Raw genomic sequence first — 23,491 nt, forward strand, 5'->3', positions numbered from 1 at the left:
AGAACGTATTAATCAGTCTGCTCATAGATTTCATAAAAAGTGGCTCATTATCTAGATGTTCTATTAATAGTTGCCAGGTTTTTTGCATCAGGAGTTGGTTGCTCAGAATGATTAATATTTACATATGTTGGTTTCTCCCAGTTGAAACCGGGATTGGAATAATAAATTGGGAGAAAATATATGGAAAAGCTCATTAAGATGACCATTTTTGCCAATAGTGTCCAAGGATGTTTCTGGTTTTCATGCAAATAGTGCCATACCAGATCCTTTCAAACATAATATTTCCCATTAAAGCAATCTCCCTTCCCACAAGCCCCTCATGTCTTCCCTTTAAAATTATCAACTTAATTTTTCTCAAGCTTCATTCAATTTTGTAAACTGATGCAACAGATTCTGCAGTTTACATAAGACCTGTTTCTTCTTTCTTTTATATCGTTATTGATCTGTCTCCCTGCATATTGCTGGAAGCATTATGTAATCATTATTAAGAAAATAAAGTCCATAATTTTACAGTTATTAATGCCCCCACCCGCCATCAAGGATCTCCCTAGACTATTAAATATGTCAGCCTCCTGCTTCACACCAAAATAACCATAAATCAAAAAACAAAACAAAACAAAACAAAAAACAACAAGGTAGGGACTGCATTCCTTCTGTGGCTTTATCTCTTTAATTAGCAGATAAAAAGAGGTTACCATTTTAACAGAGATGATTATAATGGTTTTTATCACTTTACAGAAACTCTTTAAATTGCTTTTTAAAACGATATGGCTGACGTGTGATGGCATTAAAGAAATATAATGGGGAGGTGTTGATTTGTTTTCTTTAATTTTGTTTGTGCATGACTTCTCTTCATCTGCTGACATGAAAATAAACACTAAGTACCACAAATTACTAGAGCAGCAGAGCTTGCTGTTCTGAAATAGTCCAACTCTTCTTACGACACCCTTGCTTTCCTCTTCAACTTCTGTGGTACCTGAAACAGATGGAGGAAGAACCTGCAGTCATCCTCAATCCCTAGATTTAAATCCATTAACATCTTTGGGTGTTGCAATTGTGAAGCCATGCATCTGTGGAAAAAAAAGAAAAGAAAGAAACTTCTATCTGAAAAATGTGAGCCCCTTTCCCAGCGAGGTACTGGACTCAAACAGCAGTAGCATTACTCCTCTGGAGCTGAATCATTACCTCTTGAAGCCACATGCTATGTGGGCTCTAGACTAACTGACCAAATAGCCATCAGATGCCACACACTGGACACTATAACACGTACCCTGTAGTTCAAACAACAGAGAGCCAATCACTAATCAATGTCATCTCTGTAAGCCTATGAGAATTCCTGCCAAACAACTCTGTGTCAGCCCACTCCTTGTTCCCATTTGCCTTTAAAAACCTGCTTGCAGCTGAGGCTGACAGAGCTCATGTTCAAGGCATCTTGAGTCTGAGTCTTCCAGGCAGCTGTCCTCACTTTGGCTCAAGTAAACTCTTTGAATTATTTTTTGTGCCTCAGCCTCTTCCTTTTAGGTCAACATATCCATCATGAAATTAAGGGAATTAGAACAATTTCTCATGTCATTGGAACTTGCAGAAGAAGAAATAGATTGAGACTAGGCTTCCATTGCTTCAGATGGCATATGCCCAGGACCAGCTGTGCTTTAGGTATTTTGGAGGCAGGGCTGGAGTGAGAAGATGTGGAAAACATAACATGAAGCCTGGTTTGGTTGCTGTCTGTGATCTATTTCTTTCCTTTCTCCTCTTTCTGCTCCTGGGGACACAAGAGGTTTGATGCCAGAAGCTTTTCTACTGAATTATTTGCCCTTATCTGATCACTAACAGAATTGGGCTTTTCCTTTCTTTAGCAAGGTTTCTCAGCTTCAGCACTATGACCTTTAGGGCCAGATGGCCTTTGTGTAGGGGCCATCCCATGCATTGTAGGATGTTTAGCAGCATGCCTGACCTCCACCCACAAGATGCAAGGAGCACCCCCAACACAGCCATAACAACGAAAAAGCATCTCCAGACATTGCCATTATGCCCTAGGGGGCAAAATTATCCCTGACTGCAAACTGCTGCTCTACATTTCATCTTCTCTACTATGTGAATCATCTCACACTTTTCTCATTTTCACTGTTCTGCAATATGTTTAATCACTTTCAGTACGTAAATGATACCTGCAACTCTAATCATGACTAAGGAAAATCAAAGCGATCTTCTGATGAATGCCTGGACCAAAGAGCAATAGGAACCAGGTATGATCAAAATCCTACAGAAAGCCAAGGAGTATTGGAATAAAAATCTCCAGTTATTGGAGAGTGAGGACTAGACCTTTTGTCAACAAAACCAAAGAGTGTTTATTATCTACTAAGTACAAGGCCAAATACAATTTGGTCATGAACAAGAAAAAAAAAATCTCACAATTTATTTCCTTAAAGATTTATTTTTATAGTTGGTGTGGTTAAGAGTTTTCTAGGAATGATTAAATAAGACCTGATATCATAGCCATTTTGAAGCTGCTTAAAGTTCTCAGGATATAAACCAAGTAGGGAGAGAAATAAGTAATATGATTACACAATTAATACTTATTTCAATTTTTTATTATGTGTGTCTATTTACTGCAAAATAATTACTTTGTACAGTCTTATGCATGTTTCAGATTAACTTTTTTGGTAATGTAATAAATTTTAATGCAAATATACTTTATCTTCACAGTTCATACCCCATGATACAGGTGATAAGGCTTGAAGTGATTAAACAGAAGTAAGAAGTTACCTCTCTCCGTCTGTCTTTAAAGTGCACATGCATTACTTGTGGATCTTGTTCACAATTATAATTCTGGAAGTCTGGGGTGGATTCTGAGATTCTGCATTTCTTTTCTTTTTCTTTTTATTTGTTTATTTTTTTAGAGATGGTGTCTTGCTCTGTCATCCAGGCAAGAGTGCAGTGGCACGATCAAAGCTTACTGTGGCCTCAAACTCCCAGGCTCAAGCGATCATCCTACTTTCAGCCTCCCAAGTAGCTGAGACTACACTAAAGGCATGCATCCCCACACCTGGCTAATTTTTAAAATTATTTTTTGTAGAGATGGGATCTCACTATGTTACCCATACTAATTTCTAACTCTAGGCATCAAGCGATCCTCCTGCCTTGGCCTCCCAAAGTGCCGGGATGACAGGCATGAGCCACTGCACCTGGCCTTAAGATCCTACATTTTAAGAAGCTCCCAGGTAATGCAACAATGTTGGTTTAAGCACAACTCTGTGAGTAGCAAGGTCCTTAGCTCCTTTGACCTAAGCGTCATATTATGCTTTTGTATGAGCTGTGGTGCTGCCCCAGTTTTGAGGAAAGGGAGCATTCATTTTTAGATTCAGATTTCATACATATATATATATTTTTTTCTTTTTTTTGAGATGGAGTTTCACTCTTGTTGCCCAAGCCTGAGTGCAGTGGCGCGATCTCGGCTCACTGCAACCTCGCCTCCAGGGTTCATGCGATTCTCCTGCCTCAGCCTCCCGAGTAGCTGGGATTACAGGCATGCACCACCAAGCCCGCTAATTTTTTTTTTTTTTTTTTGTATTTTTAGTAGAAACGGGTTTCACCATGTTAGCCAGGCTGGTCTTGAGCTCCTGACCTCAGATGATCCACTCGCCTCAGCCTCCCAAAGTGCTAGGAGGATTACAGACGTGAGACACTGCGCCCGGCCTCAGATTTCATATATTAAAACACTCTTTTCAGCAAAAGATGTTGAACATTCTTCCCTCGGGACAGGAAACACAAAGAGAAGGAAGCTTCCAGAGCTGAAGATCCCAACAAAGGAAAGCCAGTCCTGCTGGTAGGGGAGCACCTGAGCGCTGCTGGTCAGAGAAGCCTCCTCAAGGGTAACAAGCAAAGCCTCCACTCTCTGTACTCCAGGTTAGAATAAGGGATATGAGGCCAAAGGCCAACATTCCAGCTGAAGCCAGATGACAGAATACTGAGGGCTTCCCAGGAGACTCAAGCTCCATCAGCAAGCGGGCTCACCACACCTGCTGAGTGCAAAGGCACTGGAGAAAGATAGTAAGAGCTACTATCTGTTTTTCAGATTTTATTGTATCCAGCCAAACATAGTAATGATACAGCTCATATTCCAGGTGGTGCAAATGTTTTCCATAAATACCATTTTCACCAAGTTCCAAGATAAGTAGTTATGATAACTATATAAAACATAAAATAAAATTACATAAGATATCTAATAATGCAATACTAATTATATGTAACATATGCAAAGTATATATGTAATAATAAAATACTATTAAAAATAACTACCTGGATTTTCTAGCTCTGTCCTTATCTGTTAAAAGTCAAGAATTTGCTGTTCAGAGTAGGCAGAGTCTCTTAAAACCATCTCTTAAATAACTTCTGTTTTGGCCAGGTGTGGTGGCTCATCCCTGTAATCCCAGCACTTTGGGAGGCCAAGGCGGGCGGATCATCTGAGGTCGGGAGTTTGACACCAGCCTGACAAACATGGAGAGACCCTGTCTCTACTAAACATACAAAATTAGCCGGGTGTGTTGGTGCATGCCTGTAATCCCAGCTACTCGGGAGGCTGAAGCAGGAGAATCACTTGAACCCGGGAGGAGGAGGTTGCGGTGAGCCAAGATCACGCCATTGCACTCCAGCCTGGGCAACAAGAGTGAAACTGTGCATCAAAAAATAAAATAAAATAAAATAACTTCTGTTTTAATTTGGCTCTTGTTTTACTAAGAATTCTCAGTAGTGCTTTCAAAACATTCTAAAAACACAAAAATTAATCTTATTCCTAGATGTCCATAACTTAGTTTTCCAAATTGTTATTTGTTAATTAGCATGAAGCAAAATAACTATTAACCTAAAAATATGTCTGATTAATTCTGCTGTCACTTCAATATAATTAGACAATTGTGGACACGTTTTCTCCTAGGGTTCTTACCTGCATTTACATTTCTGCAGTTAGGGTGAAGGTGCATGTGTGCTTGTAGGTGGACCATGAATATAGGAAGTAGGGCTGGAAAGAGTGGACAGAGGCATTCAACCGAGTGTCTAGAATGTGGACATGCCAGCAAATAATTCTCCACTCTGATGTGTGCACTTTTCCTGTGATTTCTTCAAAGTGGAAAGCATCTGAGGTTGAATTTCCTACAGAGAGGTAGACTGACGGGGCGAGCCTGGCCCCTGGGCTGCCTGCCAGTTCCCTAAGCTGTGACACCAACCACCTCATGGTGTCCCTCCCCTGGGCCTCCATTCCCTGTTCTGTAGAATAAGGGCATTTGACAAGCTGATTCCTAAAGTGTCTCTCAAATCTATGATTCTACTACTTTAATGCCTTTAATATTGAAGAAAATGTACATGATAATGTGTTCTCTCTGCACGTCAGCTAAAATAGGACATTATTAAATAATAAAATATCCATTTCCAACTGCATGGGTGTAATTTTTTAAAATGCATTTTGAGACAAGAAGATTGTTCTAAGCTTTCACAGATGTTACCATTTTAAAACATTTTCTTTTCTCACATGATGCCAGTAGGAATAATTCATTTCTGGACTTTTTCTGTCAGCATCTATCTCTGGCTTTATTTCAAAATGTCACATTATCAGGACAAGATACAAATATCTTGAACATGAAACCCTAACAATTAAACAGAAAATTGATACTAAAAGAAAATCAAGACAACAAATGTAAAGTTCAAATTTCTGTTACCTTGCTTTTTAAAAAAATGCCTAAATGCATATACAAAAATTGGATTTTTAGAAACATAAACTATCCTTCCATTAATTTATTTTTAAACTTCTTTCATATTGTTATTACTGATAGAGTTGACAATACAATAAAATATTACTAAAATGCTGGGCACGATGGCTCACACCTGTAATCCCAGCACTTTGGGAGGCTGAGACAGGTAGATCACCTGAGGCTGGCAGTTCAAAACCAACCTGACCAACATGGTGAAACCCCATCTCTACTAAAAATACAAAAATTAGCCAGGTGTGGTGGCGGATGCCTGTAATCCCAGCTACTCAGGAGGCTGAGGCAGGAGAATCGCTTGAACCTGGGAGGAGGAGGTTGCAGTGAGCTGAGATGGCACCACTGCACTCCATCCTGGGCGACAGGGTGGGATTCTGTGTCAAAAAAAAAAAAATGCATGAAGTTAGAAGCTGAAACTCCAACAGTGCCTGCTTTAGCACCACACTCCAACTAAACTTCACATGCTGGTGCATTTCCATCTTCCTCTGTACACTGTGTCACGCCATCAACACTCCGCATACCAGGCTATATGCTGTGTTTCATTCACTATCTGCATGATTGAGAACATTGGGTTCCCATCAAGTTGCTATTGCAATAATATCCAACAGATCAGGACACATCCACCGCTTACTTGTCCAGTTTGATCTTTAAGGGAATTGAAAATCCACAAAGGTCTAAACTTGTCAGGTATTTTAGTGGGAAATGGGTAAGTCCCTCTCAAACAGCTGACCTGGAACTCGTACCTGCCACAGAGAGTGAAACCTCTCTGCACTCTTAAATGCTGCATTCATTCATCCCTGGAGAAAAGCCAGTTTCTCATCCACGTTGAACTAATTCTTATGAGGTGACCCTTATTTATAGCCACAGATACAGTGTGACTCCCTATTTTAAATAGACTATTGGGACTTTGTTGTTTTCACCATCTTTGGCTCTAGCCCTTAAGGACTTCATGAAGCTCCTAAGTAATATAGACAGCTAGGTTGATTTTTAGTTGAACTAGCATGCATTTTCAACATTTGGAAGTAAGTATTAGCCGGGTACGGTGGCTCACGCCTGTAATCTCAGCACTTTGGGAGACCAAGGCGGGTGAATCAGCTGAGGTCAGGAGTTCGAGACCAGCCTGGCCAACATGGTGAAACCCCGTCTCTTCTAAAAATACAAAAATTAGCTGAGCATGGTGGCAGGCGCCTGTAATGCCAGCTACTCGGGAGGCTGAGGCAGGAGAATCGCTTGAACCTGGGAGGCAGAGGTTGCAGTGAGCCGAGATCACACCATTGCACCCCAGCCTGGGCAACAGAGCAAGACTCCGTCTCAAAAAAAAAAAAAAAAAAAAAAAAAAGAAGTAAGTATAAGTACTACACAATGAATTATAAGAAGTAAAGGACAATAATGTAGCCTTTGATGCTTACACAAATTTTATTGGAAATAGCTGGCTCCAATGACAATATTTCTGCTATCACCACAAACTCAATTTCTACTTCAACTATATAATTACATCAGGCTTGAGAATAACTAAAAAACAATACTGCTAAATGTTGGCTTTAAATTACCATTTGTCTGCCTAAATCATGATGAATATGGTGATTGGAAATGGCATTATCGATTATTAAATGTCAGAATGAATACACTAATGAAGTTATAGAGACAAATGTCATATAAGACTGATTATTGTGACTAGTTTGGCCAAAGTCCTGAGTCTAAAATTTTTAAAACTCTAAAAATGTAAAAAGAAGTATCACAATCCCTCGCACTCTTCCTTTCCAACTTGGACCAGGCAGAATGGCTCCCGCAAAGAAGGATGGCAAGAAGATAAGGGCCGTTCTGCCATCAACGAGGTGGTGACCCGAGAATACACCATCAACATATACAAGTGCATGCATGGAGTGGGCTTCAAGAAGTGAGGCCCTCGGGCACTCAAAGAGATTCTGAAATTTGCCATGAAGGAGATGGGAGCTCCAGATGTGCACATTGATACCAGGCTCAACAAAGCTGTCTGGGCCAAAAGAATAAAGAATGTCCCATACCGAATCCGTGTGCGGTTGCCCAGAAAACGTAATGCGGGTGAAGATTCACCAAATAAGCTCCATACTTTGGTTACTTATGTACCTTTTACCACTTTCAAAAATCTATAGACAGTCAATGTGGATGAGAACTAATCACTGATCGTCAAATACATCAAATAAAGTTATAAAATTGCAAAAAAAAAAAAAAAAAAAGGAAGTATCCATGACTGTATCCATCATAATAAAAATTTGGCCAGGTGAGGTGGCTCATGCCTGTAATCCCACCACATTGGGGGGCCAAGGCAGGAGGATCACTTGAGGCCAGGAATTCAAGACTAGCCTGGGCAACATAGTGGAACCCTGCCTCTACAAAAAATTTAAAAACATTAGCTGGGTGTGGTGGTGCACATCTGTAGTCCTAGTGCTCAGGAGGCTGAGGCAGGAGGATTACTTTAGACCAAGAACTCAAGGTTACAGTGAGATATGATCACATCTCTGCACTCCAACCTGAGCAGCACAAGGAGACCCTATCACACACACACACACAAAAAAACATAATATTGACTTTGTTCAAAATGTAAGCCTTCATGATAATACTGCAACTTGTCATTCAAAATGCAGTCATTGTGAACCTACCATGTGTCTGCGGTAGTCAGATGCTGAGCATGCTTGAGTGAACAAAAGACAGAAGACTCCTCCCCTTCTGGCTGGGGATTGAGATGAAGAAGTAAATGAGCTAACAAACCATTACAGAAGGTGACAGCTGCTATGACTTAGACAGACTGTGCCGTGATCGAAGACTGGGTGAGAAGAGGGAACCTAGACTAGAGACCATGGATGAGGATTTGGCTCCAGGCAGAGGCTTCCAATGTGCAACCATGCTGAGTCAGAAGACGCAGAGTTGGAGGAGCAGAAATCCGGCACGCTGGGGCCAGTGCTTCGTAGTCCGGAAGATCGACGGTGTGCAGGAGGCTGGAGAACGGTCAGCTGCAGATGGCACAGGGCCTTGTCTGCCGGGCCACAGCATCCCAGCCACTCCTCCCAGTGCTTCCGGGCAAAACTCTAGCAGATGCTTTTTTTCCCCTTTCTTAAACTTATCACATACCTATCAGTACATCCTGTCAACTCTACTTTAAAAGCGCATCCTTGCTGTCATCCCAAGTCTCCCTTATAATGTCCATTGTGCAAGTCCGGAATGATCCTTTAAAAACCTAAATCAAATCACTTCTTTTCTGCTTCCAACTTTTCCATGATCTCTTGTCACACACAGAAAGGAGGCTGAACTCCCCTCCTGGCTCTTTGTGCCCTTTATGATCTGCAATGCACCTCATCTTACCCCTCCACCTCGAGCTCCAGCCTCTATGGAGCTTGCCAAGCTTGATTCTCCTTCAGGGCATTTTCTCTAGATATCTTGTCTTCCTGAACTTCTTTCGCAACTCCTTGCACAGCTGATTCCTTCTTATTTCATTGAAATCTCAACCTGATGTCACCTGCCCAATGACCTTGCATGGCTATCAGACTAAATAGCCAAATAGTACTGTCCTCGTTTCTCCTTGGGGGTTGAATCCTCTGCATAGCACTTGTACTGATATTTTATTAGTACTTGCTGGTTTACTGCCATCTCCACAGCACTCCACCCCCACACCATTCAACCTAGAATGTAGTTCTGTGAAAGAAGGAATAATAAATGTGCTGCTCACTATGTATCCCCACACCTGGGGCTCTGCCGGACACACAGTGGTTCTCAACAATTTTTGCTAAATGAATCAAAGGCTAATAGACCATCATGGATAAACTCATCATGAAATAGAAGTGAGAGAGAAAGGGAAAGAGGGAGGAGTGGTGGTGAGAGTGCACAGGTCGGCAGGGCTAGAAAGACCACCGAACAGTCAAGGAGCTCCTACGTGGCAGCAGCTACCACACCCATTGGGTCAGCTGGCCACACTTCTACACGTGGATTTAGACCCTTTGTTGTCCCCATAGCATAGGCGGCATGAGCCTCATGCTTGCATTGGGTCCCCTTTCTCCTTGAGTCCTGTGGGTATGACGTGGCCCAGGAGAATGCTATGACCACAGGGAATCTGTGTGAAAGCCAAGAACTCCAGGGGCAGGAGATCCTGGTCTTCTGTAGGGGCTGCTAGCAAACTTGGTCCTCTTTCTCTCTAGAAGAGACATTATTTTTATTACACTGGGATTTCTCCAAGAAGAGATGTTTCCAAATCTCTACAGAGGGAGTCGTTGTCTTTCTACTGCCAAGACTATCTGCTATGCAAACATCCTGGATCATCCATTGATGATCTCAATGTCCTTTGTTCAGAAGACATGCAAACCATGTCCAGACATAGAGGACTAGTTCATAACAAAAGGATCCTGTGGCCTGATTTGGAGCAGGGCCCCTAAGGGACAGAAAATTTCAAGACATATTTGGGAGACCTGACAGTGGAAGTTATCTTTACCCAATTTTCCCAGGGAACGGTACTAGGAAGGCATAAAACCTCAGGAAATTTAGAGCTGCACAGTGTGTCAGAAACTATGGAACCGGAGACAGCTTTGCAAGGGTTTTTCCGGAATGGCAACTGACTGAGGTTATAAAATTATTCCCACACACTTATGCTGCAAGGAGTGGAATATCCAGCAAACTGGGAGACACAGGAGGACAAGAACAGATGATGCTTCGGTAATGACTTAAAGGGACCAGTTCCCAAGGGCCATATGGGATGTTCACCCCACAAGACGATTGAAGGAGGGAGAGAGGCATCTCCCCAGTGCCTCACACAGTGAAAGGTCCCTAGGAGATTCTAGAGGGGATGTCTTGTCTTGAATCACTTTCAAGACAAATAAGGAATTGAACCACTTGTTTTTACAAAGTCTGTTACTGGGAGACACCATCTCTGGATCCAGGCCGGGAGGCTGCGGTGAGGAAGCCAGCTCAGGAGGTTGTCAGGGCAGCCACAGTGGAGCCACAGCTCTGGGGCTGCCATCTTGTCCTGTCAGCTTAGCTACCACTGTTCACATCTCTCCCTCAGTAGTTTATGTTTTATTACATATCACAAAATGTCCATATGGAATGTGTTGAAAATAAAGTTGAAAGGACAAAAATAACAGGTTCTTCACCACAGATAGCCGAAGAAGTAGTGGTCTGGAACAGCCCTATCCATCAGAACTTTGACAATGATGGAAACGTTCTGTTCCTGCAGTGACCAATATGGTAGCCACTAGTTGCATGTGGCTACTGAGCACTTGGAGTGAGGCGATTGTAATTTAGAATCCAAACATTTCATTTTATTTAATTTTAATTAAGTTAAAATAGCCATGTGACTAGTGGCTGCAGTACTGGACACAGCAGGTCTAGAATGAAGGCATTAGCCTGAGCCTCTCAAAGCTTTTGTGACCTTATCATAAAATGAGGATAAAAGTAGAATCAATCATGTAGGGGGCTTTCAAGGCTTAATGAACTAATCCATGTTAGAGGCTTAGCACCTCTGGGGCACACAGCTGGCACTCAGTAGGCATTAGAGGAAGATGAAAAAAATAAGTATGACAACACTGGTGGCAATCACAGAGACAGAGCTCCGGGGTTCTGAGGACAGGTTTGGACATGCGTGTGGCCAGCTATTAGGTAAGAAAAAGTATGGTCCATGCAGCGTGGGGCCAGAGCATGGGTGACAATGGGTGAGGAGGCCCTGCATCTGGCTCTATATGGGAGCACAGGCACATGAGGGGTGATGCCCCAAACCCTAACGGCCTTGAAAAGGAGAGTAGATGTTCAGCACTGGGTCAGCAGGGAGGGGGCTGTGCCCAGAGCTTCCCAGGCTGCTGGGGCAACTGCTCCCTTGGGTGGTGCACGGTGCACACGGCAGGGGCAATGCTCTCTGGGGCTGTGTCCAGCTCCTTCACCCAAATTCAAAACATGTGCATTCTGCACACCTCTGTCAAATAGTCTGGATCAAGGCATGTGTTTGCCTAAATCATCTGAAAATTTATATCAAAAATAGTTTCTTGGCATGTATCTATCAGTCTGGGTCCAATCAGGAGATGCAGACCACAACACAATTTAAACAAGGGAGGTTTAATATAAAGAAATATGATGCTATTTCTTAAGAAACAGGACAAGAGAGTAACTATTGAGACAGAAAGAGCTCTACAGGGCACCAGAGCTGTGGGTGAGCACCCAAGGAAGGACACAGCTAGAGGGGGCTTAGACTTCTGAAGAAAGTATGGCTGCACCTACTGGATAGTGGAGAATTTTGCTGGGCTTCCCAGGACACAGCTGGCCCACAGTGGCTGGACAAGTGAAAACATCACTCTGTGGCACCAGCAAACTGAGGCCAACAGGCAGGCAGAGAGAGCAGGGCACACTGCAGGTGTGAGACCAAAAACCTGTCATGTCTATGTCATTGTCCATGTTGAGAGGGCCACAGGAAATACACCTGCAGGACACAGGCAGGGGATGCTGGCAGGTGGTGGACCACCCTCTGCAGGGACCCAGTGCCCCTCTGTGCACAGCTTGGGTCAGAGCAGCTGTGGGCGCTTGCATGGACAAAGGTACAGCCTGCCGAATGGCCAACCTTAAGGAGCTTCAGTGTGCCTGTGGGTGGGGCTAAGGAGAGGGTACAAAGAGCAGGACCTGGGCCGAGGCACAGTCCTGTGCTGTCTGGTGTCCCTGGCTATGCTAGTGCTGTCCAAATCAGGAACTGCAGAAAGCATGGCAGCAACATGCTGGAGAGAGCTTCCTGTAGCCTGCATGCACCTGGCACTGGAGAAACCACACTGCTGAGCAGTAAAGAAAAATGCACGCTCTCCAGGAGCATGGCAAATGCCCTGAGAGCCAGGACAGAAAATCCCTACTATCTGTAATGTCTCTCCAGCACCTTCTAATGACAATCCTTAACATCGGATCAGTGGCAAAGAAAAAATATGAAAGAGGCTCACCTGCATCTTCACAGATCAGGTAATGAAGGATGAATTTGGAGCTGAGAGTCAGGAAACTGAAAAATGGCAACACATAGCCTATGCCCGACACCCACCGGCCCCACTCTTCCATGGCACTCACAAAATATTCCCTGGGGCTTTGACTGTGATCTAGGAAAAAAAAAACACTGTTTGCAAGGAAAGGAAGATTTCTTGGTAAATTATCTTTCTATGGGTAAAAAAATCAGTGCAGTCATCACCTTGTCATTAGTAAGTTCTCAATAGAGCAGACTGAGTCAAAGCTGTGCAGCCAATAAGATGTACTTACAAATGGTTCCCTGCCTGAGAGCTGGGTTCAGAAGTGCAGTAGATCCAACATCTCCCAGTGCCATAATCTACCTTGTAGGACTAAATGTCCTATACCCTAAAGTTTATTATTCTTTATATATGATCTAGAGAGTGGGTACAAGTTTTGGTAGTAGTTTGGAAAATACTACAAAATCTTTGAAATAAAAAAAACTAAGCAGTTTATAAAACACTGCCACTTATACTTAGGTGTATTCTTACATCTTTTCTTTTTTCCTTAAATAACTAAAACAAATATAACATTTTCTGAAAAGTAAAGGGGCCTCAGTAAATAAATACATAGCATTGCTATTATGACATACAATATTTTAGAATAAAAATATAGTATGAATATTCATAGAAGTTGTTATTCTTGGATCTTTAGCAACATTAAATATGTAATATACTTACACCTCCATTTCCTCTTCTAATATTTATCCCTGCTTCATTTCTAAATCATCTTTTCCATATTTTCCTCTTCAGTTTTTTAAGTGGGACGGCAAGCTTGTTTTCAGCTAGTTGTAATTAAAATATTATCTATGAGCACTTTCAAGCCAGATTGTCATCATCAAAGCAAAGGAAAGATGGGGCAATTTTGGAGAAAACTCAGTGACACATCAAATTATTTAGATGGATGTTTTAATTTCACAATTTTTCTTCAACTAACTTTAAAATATGTGGGTGATTATTTTATATAGGGATTCGCATGGTACAAAAATCAGTAGAACTCCAAATAAGGCACTGAGAGGAGACAGAGAGGAGAGCACTGAGGTGGGCTCTTCTGCCCTGAGTGGACCCTGATCTCCACAGAGGCCAGGCAGACAGCATCCTGCCTTCCACCGTCGCGTTCCAGAGAAGACTGTTGATAAACAGCCAGTGCCTAACTTCAGGGAGGGGTTAGTTATGGATGAAATCAAAGGACACCGAGGGAAATGTAAGAGAAGGTGGCTGGAGTAGGCTTGGGAGGCAGGGGGCCCCACCTGGGAGAGCTTGGCGTTCTAGCCTGTGGAGGAGTCCTAGGGGGAGGAGAGAACTGGGGAGGGGTAGAGGGCGCTCAGGAAGGCAGGTCTTGTGTCCTGCGCCAGCCAACTCCAGCTGTGCTCCATGGCTCCGGCAGGGTTGCTCTGAAGGCTATAAAGGAATGTGCCCACCCTGGCATGTGACCATCCTTCTAGAACACGCTTTGGTTCCTCGATTTGGGAAGGTCTGGCTCCAATAGCCCAAGCCTGCCTCCAGATCCTTTAAAGATAGCTTCACTTTTCTGTCCCAAGCACTGAGAGGGAAAAGGGACGGGAAAGAGTGGAAGGAGTGGGCAGCAATGTGTGTAGTTTGGCCCTGCAGCGGAGCCGCCGCCGTCCATAGCCTCCCTGTTCGGAGGCCGCCATCCATAGCCTCCCTGCTTGGAGCCCCTGACCATGGCAGGCCTATCTCAGCGTCTTGCAGGAGCTGGGATGCGCATATCCCTTGGGCAAGGGGAAGCCACGGCTTGATTTCAGCAAGAAGCAATGTGAGTTACCTTGCCCTTAACCTTATGTAAATTCATTCTGCAAATGAAGATCCAGGGCTGAAAGGGCAGCACTGCAGACACCGCAGCGGCCGGAGCCACAGCCCTGAGCTCCCAGGGTTTTCCACCCAGCAGGGAAGACAGACTGGAAAAACGATTACATGAGTGGTGCTGGCTGCAAAGGAGAAGAATGGATCTTTAGTGCGTAGTGAAGCGCAGGGGTCTCACTTGGTTAGGATATGGTTCTGAAATACTTCACTGAGAGGGGCATGGGCGCTGGAGTGGAGACAAGTTGGGACCTGGACTCATTCAGAGTTCATTATGGGGAGGAGAGATTCCAGGACTAGAGAACAGTGTTGGCCTTGAAGCAGAAAAAAACCTGGACCAGAAACTGGAAGAAGAAAGAGAAGGAGAAAGAGAAGGAGAAGGAAGAGAAGGAGAAGGAGAAGGAGAGGAAGAGGAAGAAAGAAGAAGAAGAAAAGGAAGAGGAAGAAAGAAGAAGAAGAAGAAAGAAGAAGAAGAAAAACCAACTTAGGCAGGAGAGTACAGAGGGACATGAAGGAAGCAGGAGCGTGCACACTTGAAAGCGTGTGTTAGCATCAGCAGCCCCCGCCACCCCTGCAGGACATACCAAGATGCCCTTCACTCTGAGGGCAGCGGGAACACACTAAAGGGTTGAACAGGTTGCGTTTCTAAAAGGTCACGGACTACAGTGTGTAAGAGGTTGGAAGGGGATAAAAGCAAACGCAGACGGACGGCTAGAGAGCTACAGACGGGTGACGGGGCGGTGGAAGGAGGGCGGAAAGGGAAGTGACCTCCCAGCGCCGTCCTGGGCTGCAATAATCAATCAATCTGTGCTGCATGCTGGCCCCCACTGGACAGTGGCTAATTGATCCATTCACGAGGGAAGACGCAGATCTGACAGGCCGCGCGCAGTTCCACACAGCCGCGCTGGGCTCCCGTCACCTCCCTCCGGGATGAGTGTGGAAGGCGCTCTGCACCAGGAGCACTCAGCTTTCCCAGGCCGCTGTTGCCGGGCACAGGCTCCGGGCACACGAGGGGGTTCCGTGCAGCCCGCTTTGCAGAGGGAACGGAGGCGCAGAGAGCCTGGCCCGGGCGCGCGGCCGCGAGGGTCGGGAGCAGGGAATCCACCGCTGCAGCTCAGCTCTGGGCAACGCTGCCACCTGCTGTCCCGCGCAGCCGCACAGCGGCCCGGGCGTCCCAGCCTCCGCGAGAAAGACTGTGCCTGACCTGCACGGAGGATGACGCTGACCGGCCGGTGATGAGGAAGCCACCAAGGGAAGCAATTAGACACAGGACGTGCTGGACCTGCAGGCTGCACAGGCCAAGGGAGGGCCCCAGGCGCAGCGGGCGGATCTGCGGGTCCGCGGGCTGCGTCCCTGCCCTGTGGCCGAGACTGTGACAGTCTCCGCAGTTGGCAGCCGAGTGCACTGACACTTAGGCTGAGTCCGCAAACAGAAAAGCACCAAATCTCAGTGGCTCCACGCAACAGGTGTGTTTCTCACTCTCATATCCAGGTTAGGTCACGGGACACGCCAACAAGTGATTTAGGGACCAGGCTCTTTCCCTCTCTGTACCACCTTAAAAATGCAGCCTCCAAGTTCACTGTCTAAAGGAAAAAGTAATGATCAAGGGTGAGAGATTTTGCCGCGGCCTGTGACACAGCTCCACCTAATGTAAAGGTGTTAGAAAGCTCGGTTTTCCCGCGTGGCCAGGAAGAGGAGAAAAAGAAGTGTCGCTGGATCACTAAGACTTGGCCAGACCCTTCTGTGCCTCCTAAACATTCTCCCGTCCATGCAGAGAGCACCCTCACGCCTTCCCCCAGAGGGGCAACCACAGTCCCACCAGTCACTGCCCAATGCAAAGGGCCCCCAGGCAATCTCACTCCATGGCCGGGACTCCTCTTGGGCTGCCACCAATCACCTAGAGGGAGAGTGGTTGCTCTCCTCCACCCAGCAAACAAGCACATTATCTCTGAAACAAACACCACACCACCATTCCAAAACAGAGTGGGAGAAACACCCTATCACAGCCCAACAGGACACCTGACTCCGCTGGCCAGAATTGCTAAATTCCTCTGTCCTGGGCTGGGAAGGCCCCTCATTAGACTCCAGGGCTATCCTCTGGGGAAAACTCCATGCTCTGTTTTTCTTGGAAACCCCTGGATCGTGGGAGTTCTTAATTGCTCACTGGGCTTCAGTTTCTGAATTGGATGCTGGGGAATCTTCCCTCATAGGATCCACATACCCTGGATCTCCCTTGCTGTCTGCTGTAGACTGAACGGTTGCTTCCCCAAAAACCCCCTGTGTTGAAATCCTAATCTCCAATGTGATGGTATTAGGAGGTGGAGACTTTGGTAGGTGATCAGGTCATCAGGGTGGAGCCCTCATGAATGGGATTGGTTCCCTTCTTTCAAAGGCACTTTTGAGGACACAGTGGGAAGAAGCCTATCTGTGAACCAGGAAATGGGCTGTTACCAGACATGGAATATGCTGGCACCTTGATCTTGGACTTCCAGCCTCCAGAATTGTGAACAATAAACTTATGTTGTTTCTAAGACACCCAGTTTATGGCATTCTATTAGAGGAGTCCAAGGTGACTAAGACAATGTGACCCAAAGACTTTGTAGATTAGGTTTATGCTTTCTTTGGCAATATAATTTCTTCAAACTCTTTGAGGGCATTTGATCCATTTGCTTCCAAACAGTTCCGTATGGCTGCAACCACACCCAAAACATTTTCATGGACAACATTTTTAAATCTTCTACTTTTTTTTTTTAACTTTCTCATACCCTTGCCTAGTTCAGCTTAATAATGAGAGGAAAAATCTTAATCTAATCATTGTAATGAGACTGAGTCACAATATGGTTTTCTAGCTGAAAGGTTTTTATTTCAATATATTATTGCCTACTGTTTGTGTTTCAAATGCAGTTGAAATGTCCAGCCCTTCAAGAACCCAAATTTCTGGACTTTGTGCTCTTAAGCTGGTCAGTTTTCTCCTGAGCTCTGTGCTTTCTTTGAATAGCATGCCAACACAACCAATTATAGAAAACACACAATCACAATCACACTTTGATTTTTTTTTCCTACTGCTTTTGCTAGAGTTGCTGAATCATAAGGCTTACAATTTATCCCCAGAGATATTGCAGACAGAAGTTTTACTACATATTTCCACTGTAGTTAGCATGGATCATCATCTTCCTTGCCACCCACCACCTCACTTCAAGTCAATGTCAGCCATCAGATTTTTGTTACTACAGTACTTCCTTTTGAAGTACCAATTTTTGTATTATTCTTGATGGTTTAGTTGTTGTGTCAATTCTCTAATTTCAGTGGCTTAACAAAATAACTGTTTCTTTCTTCCCCATGTTACAGTCCAATTAGAGTTGGCTGATTCTTCTCCATTCAGTGACTCAGGAACCCAGGCTGCTTCTATCTGAGGCATCCATATTTAACATGCAGCCTCCAAGGTCACCACTGAATGAGGGAACATATCTATGTGCCTGACTTAGACGTACTAACATCATGTCCATCACATTCCACTGGTCAGGACGCAGTCACATGGCCGACCTCACTGCAAGCGTGTGGAAAAGTCATTTATCTGTGTTTTCAGGAAGAAGAAAAAGACAATATTGAAGAGGTCTGGCTGTCCTAGCTACACTGCTTATAATTTTTTTTTTAATTGATTATTCTTGGGTGTTTCTCGCAGAGGGGGATTTGGCAGGGTCATAGGACAATAGTGGAGGGAAGGTCAGCAGATAAACAAGTGAACAAAGGTCTCTGGTTTTCCTAGGTAGAGGACCCTGCGGCCTTCCGCAGTGTTTGTGTCCCTGGGTACTTGAGATTAGGGAGTGGTGATGACTCTTAACGAGCATGCTGCCTTCAAGCATCTGTTTAACAAAGCACATCTTGCACCGCCCTTAATCCATTTAACCCTGAGTGGACACAGCACATGTTTCAGAGAGCACAAGGTTGGGGGTAAGGTCACAGATCAACAGGATAAGAATTTTTCTTAGTACAGAACAAAATGAAAAGTCTCCCATGTCTACCTCTTTCTACACAGACAGGGCAACCATCCGATTTCTCAATCTTTTCCCCACCTTTCCCCCCTTTCTATTCCACAAAACCGCCATTGTCATCATGGCCCGTTCTCAATGAGCTGCTGGGCACACCTCCCAGACGGGGTGGTGGCCGGGCAGAGGGGCTCCTCACTTCCCAGTAGGGGCGGCCGGGCAGAGGGGCTCCTCACTTCCCAGTAGGGGCGGCCGGGCAGAGGCGCCCCTCACCTCCCGGACGGGGCGGCTGGCCGGGCGGGGGGGCTGACCCCCCCGCCTCCCTCCCGGACGGGGCCGCTGGCCGGGCGGGGGGCTGACCCCCCCACCTCCCTCCCAGACGGGGCGGCTGGCCGGGCAGAGGGGCTCCTCACTTCCCAGTAGGGGCGGCCGGGCAGAGGCGCCCCTCACCTCCCGGACGGGGCGGCTGGCCGGGCGGGGGGCTGACCCCCCCACCTCCCTCCCGGACGGGGCGGCTGGCCGGGCGGGGGGCTGACCCTCCCACCTCCCTCCCGGACGGGGCGGCTGGCCTGGCGGGGGCTGACCCCCACCTCCCTCCCAGACGGGGTGGCTGCCCGGCGGAGACGCTCCTCACTTCTCAGACAGGGGCGGCTGCCGGGCAGAGGGGCTCCTCACTTCTCAGACGGGCGGTTGCCAGGCGGAGGGTCTCCTCACTTCTCAGACGGGGCAGCCGGGCAGAGACGCTCCTCACCTCCCAGACGGGGTCGTGGCCAGGTAGAGGCGCTCCTCACATCCCAGACGGGGCGGCGGGGCAGAGGCTCTCCCCACATCTCAGACGATGGGCGGCCGGGCAGAGACGCTCCTCACTTCTTTCCAGACTGGGCAGCCAGGCAGAGGGGCTCCTCACGTCCCAGACGATGGGCGGCCAGGCAGAGACGCTCCTCACTTCCCAGACGGGGTGGCGGCCGGGCAGAGGCTGCAATCTCGGCACTTTGGGAGGCCAAGGCAGGCGGCTGGGAGGTGGAGGTTGCAGCGAGCCGAGATCACGCCACTGCACTCCAGCCTGGGCACCATTGAGCACTGAGTGAACCAGACTCCGTCTGCAATCTCGGCACCCCGGGAGACCGAGGCTGGCGGATCACTCGAGGCTAGGAGCTGGAGACCAGCCCGGCCAACACAGCGAAACCCCGTCTCCACCAAAAAAATACGAAAACCAGTCAGGCGTGGCGTCGCAGGCACTCGGCAGGCTGAGGCAGGAGAATCAGGCAGGGAGGTTGCAGTGAGCCGAGATGGCAGCAGTACAGTCCAGCTTCGGCTAGGCATCAGAGGGAGACCGTGGAAAGAGAGGGAGAGGGAGACCATGGGGAGAGGGAGAGGGAGAAGGAGAGGGAGAGGGAGAGGGAGAGGGTACACTGCTTATAATAATCACACATGAGTTCCTTTAGTCCCTTTCCTCTAGAAGTTTACAAGTAATATACAATAAAGCAAATAAAATTAAGGTAGGAATGAGAATGTCATACTCTCAAGAGGCCATTTAAGATTCTACAAATGTACTTGTCTCGAATCTGGGTATAATACTGATAGTGTATATTTGCATTGAAAGCCAGGTAGGGCTTGTTATATTAAGGAATTTTTCTGATAGTTATACACCAATAGCAATCATAACATGTTTGTCATTCATACAACAACATTTCCTGAGTGCCTACTAAATGCTAGGTACCCAGCTAGTAGCTGAGTGGTTAAAAAAAAATTGTTCCAGTACCTGCTCTTGTGATATTTGCATTCTAATAGGAGAGAAAATAAACAAGTAATCACCCATTTGCATAATAATTGATTTGATAAATGAGATGCACATAAAGTACAGGACAGTGTAAGAAAGCAAAAGACAGACCTAGCTTGGGAGTGGATCCACATTCTAAGCATGAAGCTGGGACTTGAAAGGCTAGGAGTTAGCCAGGTGACAATGGGGAAGAGACGCTGAGGTTTTTTACTTTTACCATTGGGTAGGGGATGGTGCCATGCTGAGATGGGAAACACTGTGTTTTCATAGAGTAGCCCTGGATGGGCAGATCAGAGATTCATTTTAGCATACATTGGCTCCAGGGTAACCATGAAACCTCCAACGGGAAATGTCAAGGAGGCAGCAGCTATTGCACAGAGCTTGTTGAGGGGTCTGGAGTGGCGCTGTAACTGGAAGATGCCTTATTGATGATCTAGTCTGTCTCAAAGGCATTCCTCACCACCCCTTACCCAAATGCATCATTCATGGGGAAAACTCCCAGAATCCAGTCACCTGCCATCATCCGTCCCGGACATCTTAGGGCTCTATACCTCTAAGAAGATTTATTTTATTTTATTTTATTTTATTATTTTATTTTTGAGACAGAGTCTCACCCTGTGGCCCAGGCTGGAGTGCAGTGGCACGATCTCGGCTCACTGCAACCTCCACCTCCCGGGGACAAGCAATTCTCCTGCCTCAGCCTCCCATGTAGCTGGGATTATAGGCACGTGCCACCACATCCGGCTAATTTTTTATATTTTTGGTAGAGACGGGGTTTCATCATGTTGGCCAGGCTGGTCTCGAACTCGACTTCAAGTGATCCGCCCACCTCGGCTTCCCAAAGTGCTGGGTTTACAGGCATGAGCTACCGCGCCTGGCCAGAAGACTAATTATAAATAGGAACATTCTCACTGGCAAACCAAAGACTTTCTTAAATAGTGAGTTATTAACACACAGATAAGAGAGGTTTCCCATTTTTAAATATCACTGTTCAGACCAGGATGGAGGACAGCAGGAGAACTGCAAGAAGCAGCCACAACAAGCAACTGGCCGTCCTAAGGAACCAGGATTCCATAATCACAAGAAACACCCAGTAGAAGAAGTCAAGGCCAAGGGGCCCTTTTTTCTATTTCTCTGTTGCCTATTTTATCCAATGCCTGATCTTACATTCAGCTCTGTATTGTTTTAAACAGGTATCTTTGCTTTTAAAATGAATGTTCATCATCAGTTCTGAATATGAATACATGGTAGGAGTGCATTTATTTTAATTCATTTGATAATGACTTTACTAAAGCTTAAGATTGTGTGTCTCTGAAAACCTCAAAAATTATTTGAAATGACTCTTCAGATGAATGCAGATACATGAAAAGTAAACTGGTTGAAGGTCATCATACGAAGAGCCAGCAGTAGCAGCAACAATTAAGACCAGGCATCTATTTTAATTTTTCAGGTGTGTGTTGATGAGGAGAGTTAGAACTGTTTTAATTGCTAATCTCTCAAAGGAAGGAACACACCACGTTAATTAAATTCACTGATGATAGAAAATGTGGAGGTGGATTAATCACTTCTAGTGGCAGAACAATTTTCTTTAAAAGCTAGTTTTACAAATAAGAACTAGAATTAACCAAAAGAGAACTCAGTTCTTAGAGAATGTGCATGTGCACACACACACACACACACACTCACACAGCCTAACTACCCCCAGTGCATAGATTACAGGATGTGCACTTTGAAAGTTGCTTTAAAAGAGGTGCACTAATCACTGAAGAATGCCGTCTTGAATTCACTCTTTGAACAAAGATGTACAAAGTACCTGCTATATATATAAAGCTGTGGCTTGAATAATAAAAAATACAGAAAGAAAAGCACCTCTTCTCCTATACTTTTGGACCATGGATTTTCCTGTACAGTTTAGTACAGCAAATTCACTTCTCTCTGGCACCTCAATAAGGCAGCATCAAAAAACCATAAGGGGTGGAAATGTGGGTGGGTCATTTGACTAACTGAAAATGCTTTAGTTGCCCAGGCATTTTGTCAGGTATACACCTCCAGAAAGTATCTGAGTTTTGTCATTATAAATAAAGAAAATGGAAAGGTAAGTACAAGTACCGAAGTTTATATAATCAAGCCTCCAAATAGAAATGTGGCTGTGACTAGAGATATTACAATCACCAAAATCTAGAGACAGAGCAGCCAGTTATCAAGCTAGACACAGAAGCAGACCTGTGGCAGAGAGGTGAGAAGAGGCTGAGAGGTGCAATTCTCCTGTGGCTAAGGACTCTCCTAACATGCCTTTGGGAGTATAGTGCTTCTGTAGGTGCTGTGTCCAAAATCATGCCTGTGACACAGGACACAACTGGCCCCAAACAGAGAACCCAAGACCATGAGCAGCAGCTCCCCTTGCTGAAATGAAATGAATTTGGCAGTTGAATTGAGTAGCAAGACCATGAGCAGCAGCTCGCCATTGCTGAAATGAAAACCGGATTTTAGTGAGAGTCTTCCTCCTGGACCCCAGCGTTCCTAAATGGAAGCAGCAAGTATATATTTAAAAAAAAAAAAGCAACATTTTTCCATTTTTTCCCACAAAAACCCTATTTTTCCATTTTCTTCTTGCCATGGTTTTCAGTGTAAGTGGTTGGCTAATGCAGGGACTAATGAAATAAAGAACATAATAGGTTTCTCTGGTTGTTCACCTTTAGCAGAATGTAAATACCTTTTTGCAATTCAAAGTGAGTTCCGGTTCAGACAGAAAGTTTGCCTCTGGGGTGCACCTTACTCATCCTGTCATAGAGGGAGTGCTCTCACTTGGTAACCCAGTCTTGCTGAAGACCCAGCCTGGTAGGTCCACTGAAATGCTATGATCCTGGAGAACGTGATTGTGGGGGAAAGAATGGAATGGCAGACATACAAATTGTGCACCTCTGAATTTCCAGATGGCAATGGCAGAATTTTTTTTTTTTAGTTAAGAGTCTTGCTCTGTTGCCCAGGCTGTAGCGCAGTGGTGCGATCGTGGCTCACTGCAGCCTTGACCTCCCGGGCTCAAGCGATCCTCCTATCTCAGCCTCCAGAGTCGTGGGGACTACAGGTGTACACCACCATGCCTGGCTAATTGTTTTTATAGAAACGAAGTCTTCCTATGTTGCCCAAGTTGATGGCAGA

The 23,491-nt window shown here is 45.5% G+C and overlaps 1 pseudogene, besides 2 other annotated features; it reads left to right on the forward strand.

Annotated features, from left to right (window-relative positions):
* RPL31P35 (ribosomal protein L31 pseudogene 35) lies at positions 7,493–7,953 on the forward strand (annotated as a pseudogene).
* Positions 14,994–15,709: an enhancer, noted in NCBI's record as "H3K4me1 hESC enhancer chr7:54731509-54732224 (GRCh37/hg19 assembly coordinates)". NCBI's record gives its function as "activates a minimal SCP1, AML or CMV promoter by ChIP-STARR-seq in primed H9 embryonic stem cells {active_cell/tissue: H9 hESC(primed)}" and the evidence as "EXISTENCE:reporter gene assay evidence [ECO:0000049][PMID:30033119]".
* Positions 15,710–16,425: an enhancer, noted in NCBI's record as "H3K4me1 hESC enhancer chr7:54732225-54732940 (GRCh37/hg19 assembly coordinates)". NCBI's record gives its function as "activates a minimal SCP1, AML or CMV promoter by ChIP-STARR-seq in primed H9 embryonic stem cells {active_cell/tissue: H9 hESC(primed)}" and the evidence as "EXISTENCE:reporter gene assay evidence [ECO:0000049][PMID:30033119]".

This window comes from Homo sapiens, chromosome 7 (genome assembly GCF_000001405.40).
Source record: "Homo sapiens chromosome 7, GRCh38.p14 Primary Assembly".
NCBI classification, from domain to species: Eukaryota; Metazoa; Chordata; class Mammalia; order Primates; family Hominidae; genus Homo; species Homo sapiens.